This window comes from Homo sapiens, chromosome X (assembly GCF_000001405.40).
Source record: "Homo sapiens chromosome X, GRCh38.p14 Primary Assembly".
NCBI lineage: Eukaryota > Metazoa > Chordata > Mammalia > Primates > Hominidae > Homo > Homo sapiens.
Genome location: NC_000023.11, coordinates 143,162,369 through 143,176,964, shown reverse-complemented (window position 1 = coordinate 143,176,964; position 14,596 = coordinate 143,162,369). Strand labels below are relative to the sequence as shown.

Sequence of the window (14,596 nt, the reverse complement as noted above, 5' to 3'; positions counted from 1 at the left end):
TTCATTGAGTACAAATCTTCCATACTGAACTGTTTTCTTCCCTCTGCCTTCACAGTCTGATTCCCTGAATAATCTAAGCAGATGAAGTAGACAGATCATGATTAAACAGAAGTTTACTTAAATCCCCAAATCGATATTTCTCCCAGATTTTTTCAAGGTCTCTATGTCTGTACTTAGGCATGTCTTAATCTCTCAGGCAGGCAGTTGACAATTTTTCCTTAGCTTTCACTTTCTGCTTATGTAGAACCCTATGATCAGTAAAAGATGAAAGCTTTGAGTCTTTCCCGGCGTTCTCTGGGCATTTACACAGCCCTCTATTTATGCATTGCCTTGTACGTCCCCAGAAAAGCATGCAGTTTTTCAAAGCCCCCTATGAACATCTCATTCCACAGGCATTCATTTTATATTTTTGACCAATCTCTTCTTAATCCTAACTGCTATCATCACTTCATGCAGCTGAAATATTAAGAAATTGATGGGTTTTTTTTAAGACAGAGTCTTGTTCTGTCACCCAAGCTGCAGTGCAGTGGCACAATCATGGCTCACTGTAGCCTCAACCTCCAGAGCTCAATTGATCCTCCCACATCAGCCTCCTGAATAACCTGGTACAGGTGCTTGCCACCATGCCCAGCTAATTTTTGGATATTGCTTTTGACAGAAAACCTGGGGATAAGACTTTTCCACTCAAGAGAGCTCAGAATCAGATTAAGTAAAGACAAACGCTATGTTTTTTTTTTTTTTTTATTTCCAAGTAGTGTTTTCAGTAAGCTGCCAGAAAGGTCAAATGATGACTATTCTTTGGATATTGTGTGTTAAGAGTTCCATACCAATTCTGCATTCTACATGGTCTGCTAGGTCGCTACTTTTAGCAACTATTGTTGTTGTGAGGCTGTTTTCAAGGATTCTGTGGCACTCTGGAGTGGGGAATGGGAATAAAACAATTAAAACTCTACAAACTTTACTGTTCTTACTCTTCTTGTTGTTTTTCTTCAATAAACATTTCTTAGATTGCCACAAGCCTTTTGTTAATTTCTGTAATTCTGAAACAATTACTTTTGACAGTTTTTGCTGACATTTTCATTGCTTTCATGGAAAAATGAAAATTTGGAAGTCCTTACTCTGCCATTTCAGAAGTGGTTCTATCCTAGATGTCATTTTCAATCAGAAGTTCTCTTGATGTTTTTCATGTGGCAAATCTTTCATAAGGGAGGCTTCTTTTTTTCATGTCACCCAGTTGGAACCAATTCTTAAATATACCTTCATTTTATGTTTGTTATTCACAATGCATGACTTAAGTTTGGCATGGAAGTGAGGTGGCATAGTGCAGAAAAAGTATTGTCATTGTAGACTATCATTCTTTGTTATCTGAAAATTGTGGGAGGTATAATAGGTGATCATACATTTTCCTTTTAACTATTAAGGCATCTTGATTGGCTTTTTGCTTCTGATGTTTAATCTACTCTGCAAATAGCATAGGCCTGCCAAAATCAGACCTATAGGAGTGATTGTGACAAAAGAGAGTAAGTTTTTGAAATGAAAAGTGAGATAATAGTGGGTGTGTAACCTAATGAAGTTCCACATTTATAAGCAGGACACTCTATGCTGCCTACTCAGAGGACATTTGAACCCCATCCATTTCAAATGGAACAACTTCAGAAACTAACTTTTTATTGTTAAAATCAGTGACACATTTCTTGTGGCTGACAGTCTCACAGGGACAGACAATTAGATCCTCTGATGAGTGACTTCAGTGAATTTCAATGAAGCACATGCACTCCCAGGAGGAGATACACTAACTCAGATAATTTGGTTCTCAGAAAGTGGGTTAGATTCTGTCAGGTAAGAAAATAACCCCTATAGTACTTCATTGAAGGGCCTGGGTTGGGGATGGCCTGGGAAGCATACTAATTCTTCTTACCCTCAAACTATCCTAGCAGAATTCTGAAGAAATTTTGTCACACTTGCCAAAATAAGCTAATTTTTGTTCAAAGTATGTGGTTTTCACATAACAAATTCTTTTTGAGGTAAAGCGATCCAAGGGCTGATAGAAAAATGGAAAATCTATTGTTTTCAGCTCTGCTAGGGCGGGGGCCAAGAAGAAAGTTTGTTTTACACCAGTTGGTTTATGGAATTGTCACTCATTGGAAGCCAATGATTTTATAAGCATAAGAACTAATCCCATTCCACACCCTGTGAAAATATCCTTCCGGAATGATGCAGCATCGTACAAGACAAAGTTGATTTGCTTATGGCTCATGCATTATAGGAGGTAAGACAGACAACAAAGACACAAACAAACACATATCAGTGCTCAGTACTGAGCAATGGTCAGCCGTGAACTCAAATATTTATTACATAAGTGCCACTTCCTCTGTACCTTTTTTAAATGGACAAAATTGGCAATAAATCTATCTACCTACCTTTATCCATGTCTGTCTGTTTCTCTCTCTCTCTATCTCTCTATCCATGCATCTACTATGATTCAGTGGTTGTTCTCTAAACTCTTTACCTGGGTTGACTTATTTGGCCCTCACTAAATTCCTATGAGCTTGTTTAATTCCCCATTGATTGGATGAGAAAACTGAGGAATAAAGTGGTTGATTTTTCTTCTTAATATGCTACTGGAAGTTCTACGCAATATCCTATTTAAATTTTTGGCATCAATAATACACAATGAGACTGTTCTGTAGTTTTCATTGTGTTATGTTTGTGAAACTTTGCTATCTATGCAATGTTTACTTTATTAAAAACATGAAACCATGAAACCTTGATTCTTTTCTGTGTTCTGTACCTTTTTAAATAGTACTGGAATTATCTTTATGTTCTTCATTTTGGAAAACTTCTCTCTGAAATTATGAACGGGAAATTCTGGGGAAGATTAGCTCTGAAAAATATTTTTAGTTTCTCCCGTAGTTACTGGTTACGAGAATGGCATGAACCCAGGAGGCGGAGTTTACAGTGAGCTGAGATTGTGCCACTGCACTCCAGTCTGGGCGACAGAGTGAGACTCCATCTCAAAAAAAAAAAAAAAATTAAAAATAAATAAATAAAATAACTGTTTAGGTATTATTTATTATTGTGAATAAATTTTGATATATTTTTCTAGAAAGTTCTTTTATCCAGTTATTTAATTTGCATACAATTTGTGCAAATAATTTTCTTATACTTAAAACATTATTAGCATTTTATATCATTTTCCCATGTTATTTGTAATTTTCTATATTTTTGATTTCTCAATTATTTGCTGATTATATTAGCTAGTGATTTTTATATCTTCTCAATTTTTTGGCACACCAAACTTTTGGAAGTAGTTTATTGCTCTTCTATTTTTTTCACTTTTCATAATCATTAATATTTTATTTATATTATTAATCATTTATTTTTTGCTTTATGTTAAGTTACTTTAATTTTACTTACTTATTACATGTTTTCTTTCTTTCATACTTAATGGTGTAACTTTATATGACAACGTAACTTCCTCTGAGATAGCTTTGATCAAAGCCTTTGATACATTTTCTTTCTATTATCTCCATTTTCAGATAGTTTGTGATTTTAATTTTAGTTTTCTATATGGAAGAAGAACTATACGGCAAACAATTTGTTTTTGTTGCTAATAATTTCTACATCATTATTTTGCTCTGTTGGTTTTTTCTTTTTTTTTTTTTAATAAGTAGCTAGTTGCATAGCTCTGTAGTTGGATAATTTGGCCTGTATATTTTCTATTTTTGGGAATTTGCTTGAAAGAAAGTTTATTGTCTAATTACAGCATACATTGTTTTATCTATATATTTGACCTTATTAACTATTTAAAATAATTATCTGCATTATTGATTTTTGCGTATTTTATTTGTGCTGAGCTACAACACATGATTTAAAATCTCTATAACTAATAAGTTTCTCTCCATTTCTTCCTGAGAGTTTGATCTATGAATTTGATGCTATGTTATTTGTCCATAACGTTTCAAAACAGAGGACAGCAAGCTCTTCATTGTGGATTGTAACCATTTTCAATACAAAATATCTCTTTTAAAAATGTCATTAAATTATTTCTCTTAAATTTTTCAATGATATTAATGTCATTTTCTGGTTTTACTTTACATTTGCTCTAATGTGTGTTATACACGTGCACATATGGCCTCCCTTATTTTCAAACTCTGAATCAATTTCCTTTCCTCATTTTTGAATTATCAATGAATATAATATTTATTATTAAGTTAAATTTTATATTTTTCATCACTATTATATATTAAATACTTAAATGGATTATCAATGGTTTTCGTTTAAACTACAACTTATCTGTGGCTGAATTATTTATTTTTTATTGCTTTCTTAATTGGCTTAATGTTGTCATGGGTACTAATGCTTAAGTGCCACATCCTTTGTACATTTTTTTGACAAATAAAAGTTGTATATATTTATTGTGTACAAAATAATGTTTTAAAATATGTATACATTGTGGAATGGCTAAATCGAGCCAATTAACATATGCATTATTTCACATATCCTTTTTGTGGTGAGAACACTTAAAATATACTCTATTTTCAGTTTTCAAGAATACAGTATATCATTATTAAGTATAGTCATCATATTGTACAATAGATCTCTTGAGCTTATTCCTCCTATCTAATTGAAATTTTGTGTCCTTTGATGAACATTTTCCTAATTTCTTCCTCTCTGCAAGCCACTGGTAACCAGTATTCTATTCTGTACTTGTATGAGTTCAATGTTTTATACTCCACATATAAGGCAGACCTTGCAGTATTTGTCTGTCTAACACTTTTGTTCTTTGATGAGCTTTTTTGAATTATAAAATTATAGAGTCTTGATCTTTCTTTTTTTCCAAAAAATTCTGTATGTTTTGTTTCAGTGACTTCTGGCATTGAATGTTCCTGTGGAAAACTCATAATAATTTCCACCCTTGCATAAGTGATCTGCTTTTCTCCCTGTCTAGACATCTATTGGATTATTTATAATTCGCATGTAGTGACTTCCCCAAGATATGTTCCGGAGTTGATTATTTTGTATCATTTCCCTAAAACAGCATGTCATTTGGACTTTCAGATATATGTCTTTCATCATTTCAGAGAATTTCTCTGCTATGAGTATTTGAATGCTGTTTATTTTTTTCTTTTTTGTTGATCTGTTAATTTCTTCAAGAACACCAGTTACATAAATGCTGAAACTTGTCATCTAAACACATCACATTCTCTCTTCTAACTTCTGTCACTTTATAGTGAATATGTGTCTGCACGTGTCTTTGCATGTCCTTGTGTTTGTGCAATTTCTCTAGCCTGGCCTCCGTGGTTTTCTGAATGGTCTTTTCCATTTTTTGTAGTTTCTATCATTTTTTTTATTCCTCTGACAATTTTACTGTTCTATATCCCTCTTCAACCTTTTACTTTACTTTTCATATATATTTTTTCTTTACTATAAAGTGTCCATATATAAAGCGTTCATATTTTATAAAATTTTATTTTATTTCCCTGCATATTCAATTACTTATTTAATAAATACTTATTGAGTGCCTACAATGTGCCAAGCACTCTTTTAGATATCAGGGCTACATTAGTACATAAACAAATAAAATTGCCTTCATATAGCTTATATGCCAGTGGGAAGATATACATAATAAAATGGATGCATAATACAATGTACAGTATATTAAGTGCTAGAGGTAAAAAGAAAGCAGTAGAGATGAAGTATAAGATATTGTGGGAGACAGTTGCAATTTTAGAGTAGTTGTTGCTGTAAGGTTGTTATTTAAATAAAAACATAAACAATGTGAGGGAAAAAAGAATTTTGATAATGAGGAAAAACGCTCCAGACAAAGGGAAAAATCAGTGCCAAGTTTCTACATGGAAATTTGCTGATATATTTGTTTAACAGAGCTACTAAGGCTGGAGTGGAATGAGTATGCATGAGACTAACAAGAGCCTGATGTTAAAAAGGTAAGGACATGGAGCAGATCATGTAGGGTTTATAGATCATTGTGAGGTCATTTGCATTGTAAATAGAAAGGTAAATAAAATTTTGATGATTTTGATGAATGTTGATAATAGAAGAGATGTAATTTAAATTACATTTAATACAATCATTCTGGCTGCTCTGTGGAAAACTGATGAAAGGGAAGCAAGGGTATTAGGAGGACAGCTAACAATGAGTTTATTGCAGTAATCCAAGTAATAGAAGAGGATAGCCAAGAACTGGGTGGTTATGGGGAGCTAATATTCTTTATAGATGGATTGAATATGGAGTGAGAAAAAAGAGACGGGAATTAAGGAGGGATAGCTTGGTAACTGATCTGAGCAACTGAAAGAAGTTGTCATCAGCTGAGATGGAGAATACTTCAGGAGAGGCAGTTTGAAAGTGAAAGTTTAGTAGCTCAGTTTTGGAGTTGTTAGGTTTAATATTTCAATCAATCATATGAGAGAAGATGTTAAGTAGATGTTATGATGTAACAATTTAGATTTCCAAACAGAAGTTTGTACAATAGGTATACACTTGTGAGTAATCGGTGTATGGATTATATTTAAAGATGAGATGACCCAAGTAGTAAGTATAAATATAAAAGATAATAGGCAAAATGACAGAGGTCTGGTGGTATGGGCTGAATGTTTGTGTTTTCCCAAATTTATCTGGGAAATCTAATTTCCAATGTGATGGTATTAGGAGGTGGGTCCTTTAGAAAGTATTTACATTATAATGGTAGCTCTCATAATGCGATTGGTGCCCACATAAGAAGAGGCCAGACATCTACCTGGCTCTCTTTCTGCCATGTGAAAATACAAGGAGAAATCAGTAGTCTTCAATTCAGAAGAGGGCCCTCACTAGAAGCTACTCATGCTGGCACCCTGATCTCAGACTTCCACCTTTCAGAACCATAAGAAATAAATCCTTGTTGTTGAAGCCATCCAGTCTATGTAATTTTGTTACAGAATCCGGAACTATGTCACGTGGGATATTGCAGGCTTTCCAAGTCCAGGAAATAAGGAGCAAAGAGAAGACTGACTGGAAAGTTGCACTTAGCTGACTAAGATATCTTTGAAGCCCAGCAAAAAATAAACTGCAGCACAAAGAGGGTATTCAACTCTGTGAAATTCTTCAGATAGACCAAATAGTATGAAAAATAATCATCAGATTTAGCAATACAAACTTTCTATGTGACTTATAGAAGTGCAGTTTCAGAGGCATAATAGGGGCAAGATCTGATTGTTTCAGGTTAAAGAGAAAACGGGAGCAGAGATTTGGGGAATAATAAATCCAGACAATTTCTTTTTGGAGTTTGCAGTAAAGAAAATGTGAAAACTGTACAACAGTTCAAGTGGAATGTTGAGTCAAAAGAAACATTTTTAAGAGGGTAGCACTTCTTCTTCTGTTGTATATTATTTATAGTCTTGCTCTGATCATGATTTGTCCCTTTGGAGGAGATATCTGTTCTTAGTTCTAATCATCCTTATTGCTTATTATTTCCCTTATATCCGTGTCAGTTCTTCCTGAGCTTCCAACTACTTAAACTAGGGAGAGTGATCCTGAGTAGCAGATATCTTTAATTTAGTCATATGATTTCAGAAGACTTCGTTTATAAATGTTTTCCTCTCCTAGGGATATACTTCTTCTTTAGTTTTATCGCTATTTGTCCCCCTGAAATAAGCAGACCATACAAGGTGGTTGTAATTTTGGCTTTCCTTGTATCTCATTGTTGTTTATTTGGAGATTTTCATTTCACTTTTATTATTTTATTCAGTTGATCTTGGTTAGAAGTTACAAATCTTATTTTACTTTCCACTATTTCCTCCAACCATTTTTACCTCCATATCTTTTCTACAGATTTGACAAAAAATATAGCTGAAATTTCCATGTGGTTTCTTTTTTTTTTTTCCATTTGTATGATTGGGCATAGAGGCTCAGCAGATAGACTCAATTTCTTATTGAGTCTATCTGTATTTCGGGGCTTATAATGCCAAATAATTGATTTTTGATTAGAATTTTCAGGGACAAATTATATTGTACTTACAGAGTTCTGCATCCAGCTAGAGATTATAATCATATTTATCCGTCCTTGTTTTCTTTTTCAGGTTCGTCTAATTTCATTTTATGTGGCAGATATTCTTTGTATTTTATGTTTTGAGAAAGTAGTCACTTCCTAGTTTCATTGAGGATGGAGCTTTAATTTTTGGCTTATTTTCTTTTGTCCCTGTCTGCTTCAAGTTTAAGGTGACATAAATATACTTTTACTATCCGTCGTTTTAGAAGTCTCACAAAGTATCTTTTAATAATAGGCCAAGTAACATGTAGATACACCTTTGAATGAAAGTACCTTTATGTGTTTGATAGTCATCTCTTTGTGCTATTTTACTTAGGAAACATTATTGATACTCTAATGTCAAAAGCTGTCCTAAATTCTGACTGGTTAGAAAGATGAATAAGAGACTTTCCCTCACTTTGAGTAGTCCATTGTCAGAGAATTAGAAAAATCTGCTTAAACATTTCACTTAAAAGACCCGCCTGGCCAAAATGGTAAAACCCCATCTCTACTAAAAATACAAAACAATTAGCCAGGCGTGGTGGCATGTGCCTGTATTCCCAGCTACTCAGGAGGTAGAGGCAAGAGAATCGCTTGAACCCGGGAGGTGGAGGTTGCAGTGAGCGGAGGTCGTGCCACTGTACTCCAGCCTGGGTGACACGGCGAGACTCTGTCTCAAGAAAAACAACAACAACAACAACACACACACACACAAAACAAAACAAAAAAACAATTGTGTTATGGGAGGAAAGTCATGCTTTACAAGGGCACACAAAAGAGGGTCTTCCTCATATAGCAGTGTACCTGGTAACTATGCAATACATGTTGCATTAAATGCAAACCACACAGGGAAACATATTTGAAAGGGGGTTTGAAGAAGAGCACATTTTGACAAGTTTGTTTAGGGATAGAGGATCATCATAGGTTCTAGATTTATTATAAGCAGAGGTGTGGTTTTAGGACATTAAGGAGGCATATTCAGGGAAAATTCAGGCTGATTTGAACCTGAGGTATCTGCAGAGGAGGAATGAGAAATAAGACGGGGGTAAATATAAAGAACAAGCAGGATTGTTCTAATCCTACCTTGCTGAAAATTATTTATCCACTATAAAATGTTACGGTTTTCCCACAAAAGAAACAGAAGACCAGCTCTGATATGACATTTAATCATCCACTACTGATGATGCCCAATACTAAGAAGCTGTAATGACAGAAGATAAAGGTCCCCATGCATATGTAAATCCAAACTTATCCTCTCATCTAAACTTTCTCCTTTATGAAAGCTGAGTGTTCTAAGCCATCACCATTGCTCCTTCTATGTCTGTTGCCAGGACAAATGCCCAGAATTTAATTATCTTAGGCAGCCCAACACTGAGTACATTGCCTTTTATAAACCAAAACTTTGAAGATGTGTCACTGGTGACCTTAGTGACCGTCAGCATGACCTGTTTGAGAAATTATGTGAAAAATTAACCTGCTTCTGGCCCAACACCTGCTGAGGATGAGTCCAAGAATAAATTGTCATCCCTACGTGAACAGTGCTGGACTGTCACCCTTTAACTAGTAGCTACACTTAGGGCACAGCAAGTGATCTGCCTCACCACCCTCCTTCTGCTTCTTCAGTGTCACTCAGAAGACACCACACAGGATGAATCAGAAAACTGAATATTTTGTGTATTCAGTGAATAAGGTGATTTTTATGGACAGAAGGAAACTGGCACTAGGTGCCATAGGGAGAAGAAGCTTTTAATACTGCATGCACTCCTATTTTAATCAAATTGAAGTTGTCATTTATATTTAAGTACTATAAATATAACACTCTAGATGATGTTGATTTGCATTTGGTTTCTGAGAAAACACAGCAGAATATAGAAAACTGTAAAATAAAATCTCCTCAAATGTTTGCATTTTAAATGCTAAAAGGACATTTTAAATTGCTACATGCTAAGGCCAATGTTTGACTACTACTGTAATATTTTAAAATTATAAACCCTCAAATTTCAGAAGAATATTTGTATATGGGATGTTTTCATTGGTAAAAAGTGTAAGCCATTAAATTACATAACTTCCTTCTCACCAAAGCAACATTAAAAGGCCCTGTGGTGATAGCAATATGTAATAGGTAAATTGAGCTTAGTTATCACAAAGTTGTCCAGCAAGCTAAGTAAAAAGTTTTATCTAATACTAATTACTTAGGATACTTTGAAGACTATTTGAGAATTTTGGTTAATTCTCTCCCCATACCCCAGCATCTAAACTTGTATGACTTATTTCACCAAAGTAACCTATTATTTGACTTTCTACATTGGCCATTTGACCTCAAAGTCATCAACTTACAGTCTAGGCATTACATAATTGAACCAGCAAAGTTACAAAGAAATTTTAACATAGCAATCATTGAGAAAAGGCCTTAGATTTCTAATATGTATGCTCAAAATTTTCAGATTCCACATTTTCATTCTAACATGTTACTCTTAGTTTATGAGGTTCAAATTATTTGGAAAATTTGCTCTAATACATATGGATCTAGAGTGCTCATAAGTGCATGCAAAGACGTTACAAGTAATTTTACCAGTTGCTATTTGACTTTTTCACTTATAATTTTTTTAATTACCAGTGTGATGCACACATTTCTAGAAACATACAGTTACCAGTATTGAATCATGAATAAATAGAAAATATGAACAGATCAATAAGAAGATGATTGGATTAGTAATCATAACCTCTGAACAATGAAAAATACGGTTTGTGATAGCTTCACTTGTTAACTCCATCAAATAATTAAGAAGAATAAACAGCATCTATATTTAGGATTGTTCTATCTTCTTGTTTAATTCATCCCTTTATCATTATATAATAATCTTGTCATTTTTTACTGTTGTTGATTTAAAGTCTGTTTTGTCTCATATCAGTATAGCTACTCCTGCTTGCTTTTGGTTTCAGTTTGTGTGGAATATCTTTTTTCACCACTTTACTTCGAGTCTCATAGTATCATTTTCAGTTAGGTAGGTTTCTTCTAAGCAGCATATTGTTGGATATTATTTGTTTGTTTATTCTGCCAATCTATATCATTTAATTGGAACATTTAGTTCATTTACATTTGATATTAATATTGGTATGTGAGATTGTTTCCTGTAATAATATTAATTGTTACTTGGTTGCTTTGAAGTTTTTATTGTTTAGTTGCTTCACAAGACCTGTGAGTTTTACACTTTTGTGTGCTTTTATCATGCAAATGTCAACCTTTAGTTTACATGTATAGAGCTGCTTGAGCATTTCTTGTAGGTCCACTCTAGTGATAACACATTCCCTCAATGTTTGTTTGTTTGGGAAATACTTTATTTCTTCTTCATTTATAAAGCTTAGTTTGGCAGGATACAAAATCCTCAGCTGACAGCTTTTTCTTTAAAAAGACTGAAAATAGAACCCCAATGTTATAGCTTGTAAGATTTCTGTTGAGAAGTCTACTGTTATTCTAATGGGGTTTTCTTTACAGGTAATTAAAGGCCTTTCTCTTGCTGCTTTGATGATTTTTTTTTCAATCTCTTGTCTTTAGGTTGTTTGATGACTACATGTCTTTTTGAAGTTTGTCTTGCAATGTATCTTCCAGGAGTCCTTTGTACTTCTACTCTGCTTGCCTTAATCTCTACTAAGACCATGGAAGTTTTTCTCAATTATTTACTCCTATAGTTTTCCAGACATTTAACTTTTTCTTATTCTCTCTCAGGAATACCTGTAACTTGTAGGTTTGGACACTAACCATAATCCCATAGTTCTCAAAGGCTTTGTTCATCTTTTAAATTATTTTATCTTTATTTTTCTCTGAGTTAATTCAAGTCCTGTCTTCAACCTCTAAAATTCTTTCCTCTGCTTGGTTTAGTTTACCTTTATGTTTTCAATTTTATTTTATAATTCCTTCAATTAATTTTTCATACTCAAAATTTTTTAAAGATATATTCCTTTAGTATAAATTTTTCATTCATACCTTAAATTGTTCTTCTGATTTACTTGTGTTTATTTTCAACATTCTTTGGATCTTTCTTAGTTTCTTTAAAATCCATCTCTTTAATTCTTTACCTGGTACTGCAGAGTTTTAATTTTAGTTAGGATTCATTGCTAGAGAGCTAGTATGGTCCTTTAGGGGTGTCATAACACCCTATTTTTCCATACTACCAGAATTGTTACAGTGGTTACATCCCATCTGTAGAAACTGTCACTTCTTATTTTTGAATTTACTTGCATTTGGATGGTACATTTTTATACCCTCTTGAGGTTATGACTGTAATGTATGTTGTGTTTGGTCATTTGGCTTCAATTCTGAATGCTTTCAGGGGGCCAAGGCCCTGTATCAGTTCCTTAGTTATAGATAACTTTTGTGAAGTGGCTTTCTCCAATGCTGGTTGTATTAGCAATGTACTTGGCATATAAGCAGACATATTACCTTCTGTAGGACTGGGATTGTGGAAGCTTTGGGCAGTTTATCTCATTACCCAGCACAGTGCACTTCTGTTAGTAGGTTTTTTATTGAATTGTGTAGTTCAACCTCAAGCCTGGTGCTTACAGGTCAGAGCCAACTGTGGCAGACACAGGTGGGTATGTGCTTGATATTTATTTACTGGGAAGAGCTCTCTGTTGTCTCAGGCTATGGGGTGATCTGTGAAATGCCTTATGCCCTGAGATCTCTCATAAGTTCCAGAGAGGGGGCCAAAGCTGGGTCGAATTGGACCACCAATCTTGTTTTCAGATACCCCAATGATGAGCATAACCACCAATATTGATGGAAGTGGCAGGGGAAGCTCATGGGGAGATGCACCAAGGTCTCCATAGAGACAAAGGTGGTTGTACCATTTCCAGGTCCTGAGCAGACAGGAACAAGATCTGCCTCTCTCCACTTCTTTTCCAGGGCTCTTGACTCTAAGTTCAAAAAGACACTGCTTTCTATCTCCAGGCCAATGCTTGAGCTTGCAAGGGCAGAGGAGTTCTCTGGTAGATCAGAAACCAGTAGTTGGCTACAGGGTTGAGGGGAGCCCCCAAAATATCTCCACCTACTCTTTCCATGGGACTCCTAGTTTCTCAGTTTGATCTCTGCCAAACTCTTGATTTCTGCTTTTTTTGTGCCCACCTTATTTCCATGAGTTCTTCTAAAAGTTCCAAACACCCTTCCCTCAATATTTTATTTGAGTTATGATTATTCACCTTTAACTTTGGTTCTTTTTTCTGATGTCTGATGCCTCTATTCAGCCATGTTGCATGTACATTTTTTTCACTCTTTTAAGGGCAGTTTGGAGGCTAGAAGAAAACAATCTTCTTTGCAGCACATAGAGTTGCAAGCCTTCCTCTTAAATAAACAATATGAGGAAACCAGAGAAGAGATGTTTTGATCCTGAGATTAGAAACTCTAAGGCTCCCTCTTGTCTCCTAATGATGGCAGTGTAGAAATAAGGTGGAGGTTGTGACTTTCAGATGAGAAATGTCATAGAAAAGGTCACTGTAATTTAATAGTCTGAAATTCTAAAAGGTAGTGAAACTAAAGCAATAAAAGAAGATTGGAGAAATACAGTTTGGGCTATTAAATGAAAGATCGGTCCACTAAAGTTACAAAAGAGAAAGCTTTAAGCAAAACAAATGAAGCTTCACAGGAAGATCTCTAATTTAAAAGGGATTTAAGTAAAAAATACAAGAACAGGCACACAATCAAGAATAAATACATCAAAAAATTTCAGGTAAGCTGTCTTCGAGAAGCTCCGAATCCATAATACTGCTAAATATGTTTATAAATGTCTTTGCAGAGAGAGGATCAGAATAAAGAGGAGGAGTGTGTGCTAGTCATAGGACGCAAAGTAATAAACTTGTGGCTCATGTCGCTTATTTTTTATTTTAAGAATCAGTTATTGAGTTAATTTATATGCAGGTATAGAGATAAATAAAACACAGAATCAATTTTCTGCATTAACTCATACAACAAATATGCTCTGACTCCCCAATATGTGCCAGACACTGTCTTAGGACCTGAAGATAAACTGATGAACAAAACATACTTAGGCACTGTCAACATGAAGCTTCCGGGTTAGAACAAACATCAGATATTTTTCAAACACAAATAAATATTAATTTAGAAATAGCCAGTTGTAATGCAAGCTGTAAAATACATAATTGTTAGGGTTTCTTAAATTTTCAACCCACCACCATCACAAAACACCTGAGAGACCAAATAAACTTACTTTTGTACTAGTTCATTATAGAATTAATTGGCAACTGAAGGGCATGTTAGAATCTTCAGAGAAGGGAAAAGCAGGTGGAAAAATCTCTCCCTTCTGATAATTCTGTACAACCTTACTGGATGTTTCCCCCTACTAATAATTTTCAAAGTAGAGAATGGAGAGAAGGGAACAAGGCTCAAGGGATGAGCACTTAATAGCCATAGTAAAACAGAGGCAGGCATTTGGGAAAATACTCATAATTCTTTTGGTGCTAAAGTGGTGAGCCTAAGTTAAAATGATATTTATTGGTTCAAGTAGTTGGAATGCCCAAGGGTATTGAAAAGCACTGAAACAAACTGAAAATATGAGTTAT

The 14,596-nt window shown here is 34.4% G+C and overlaps 1 annotated feature.

Moving 5' to 3' along the window:
- Positions 11,090-11,806: an enhancer, noted in NCBI's record as "NANOG hESC enhancer chrX:142252945-142253661 (GRCh37/hg19 assembly coordinates)". NCBI's record gives its function as "activates a minimal SCP1, AML or CMV promoter by ChIP-STARR-seq in naive H9 embryonic stem cells {active_cell/tissue: H9 hESC(naive)}" and the evidence as "EXISTENCE:reporter gene assay evidence [ECO:0000049][PMID:30033119]".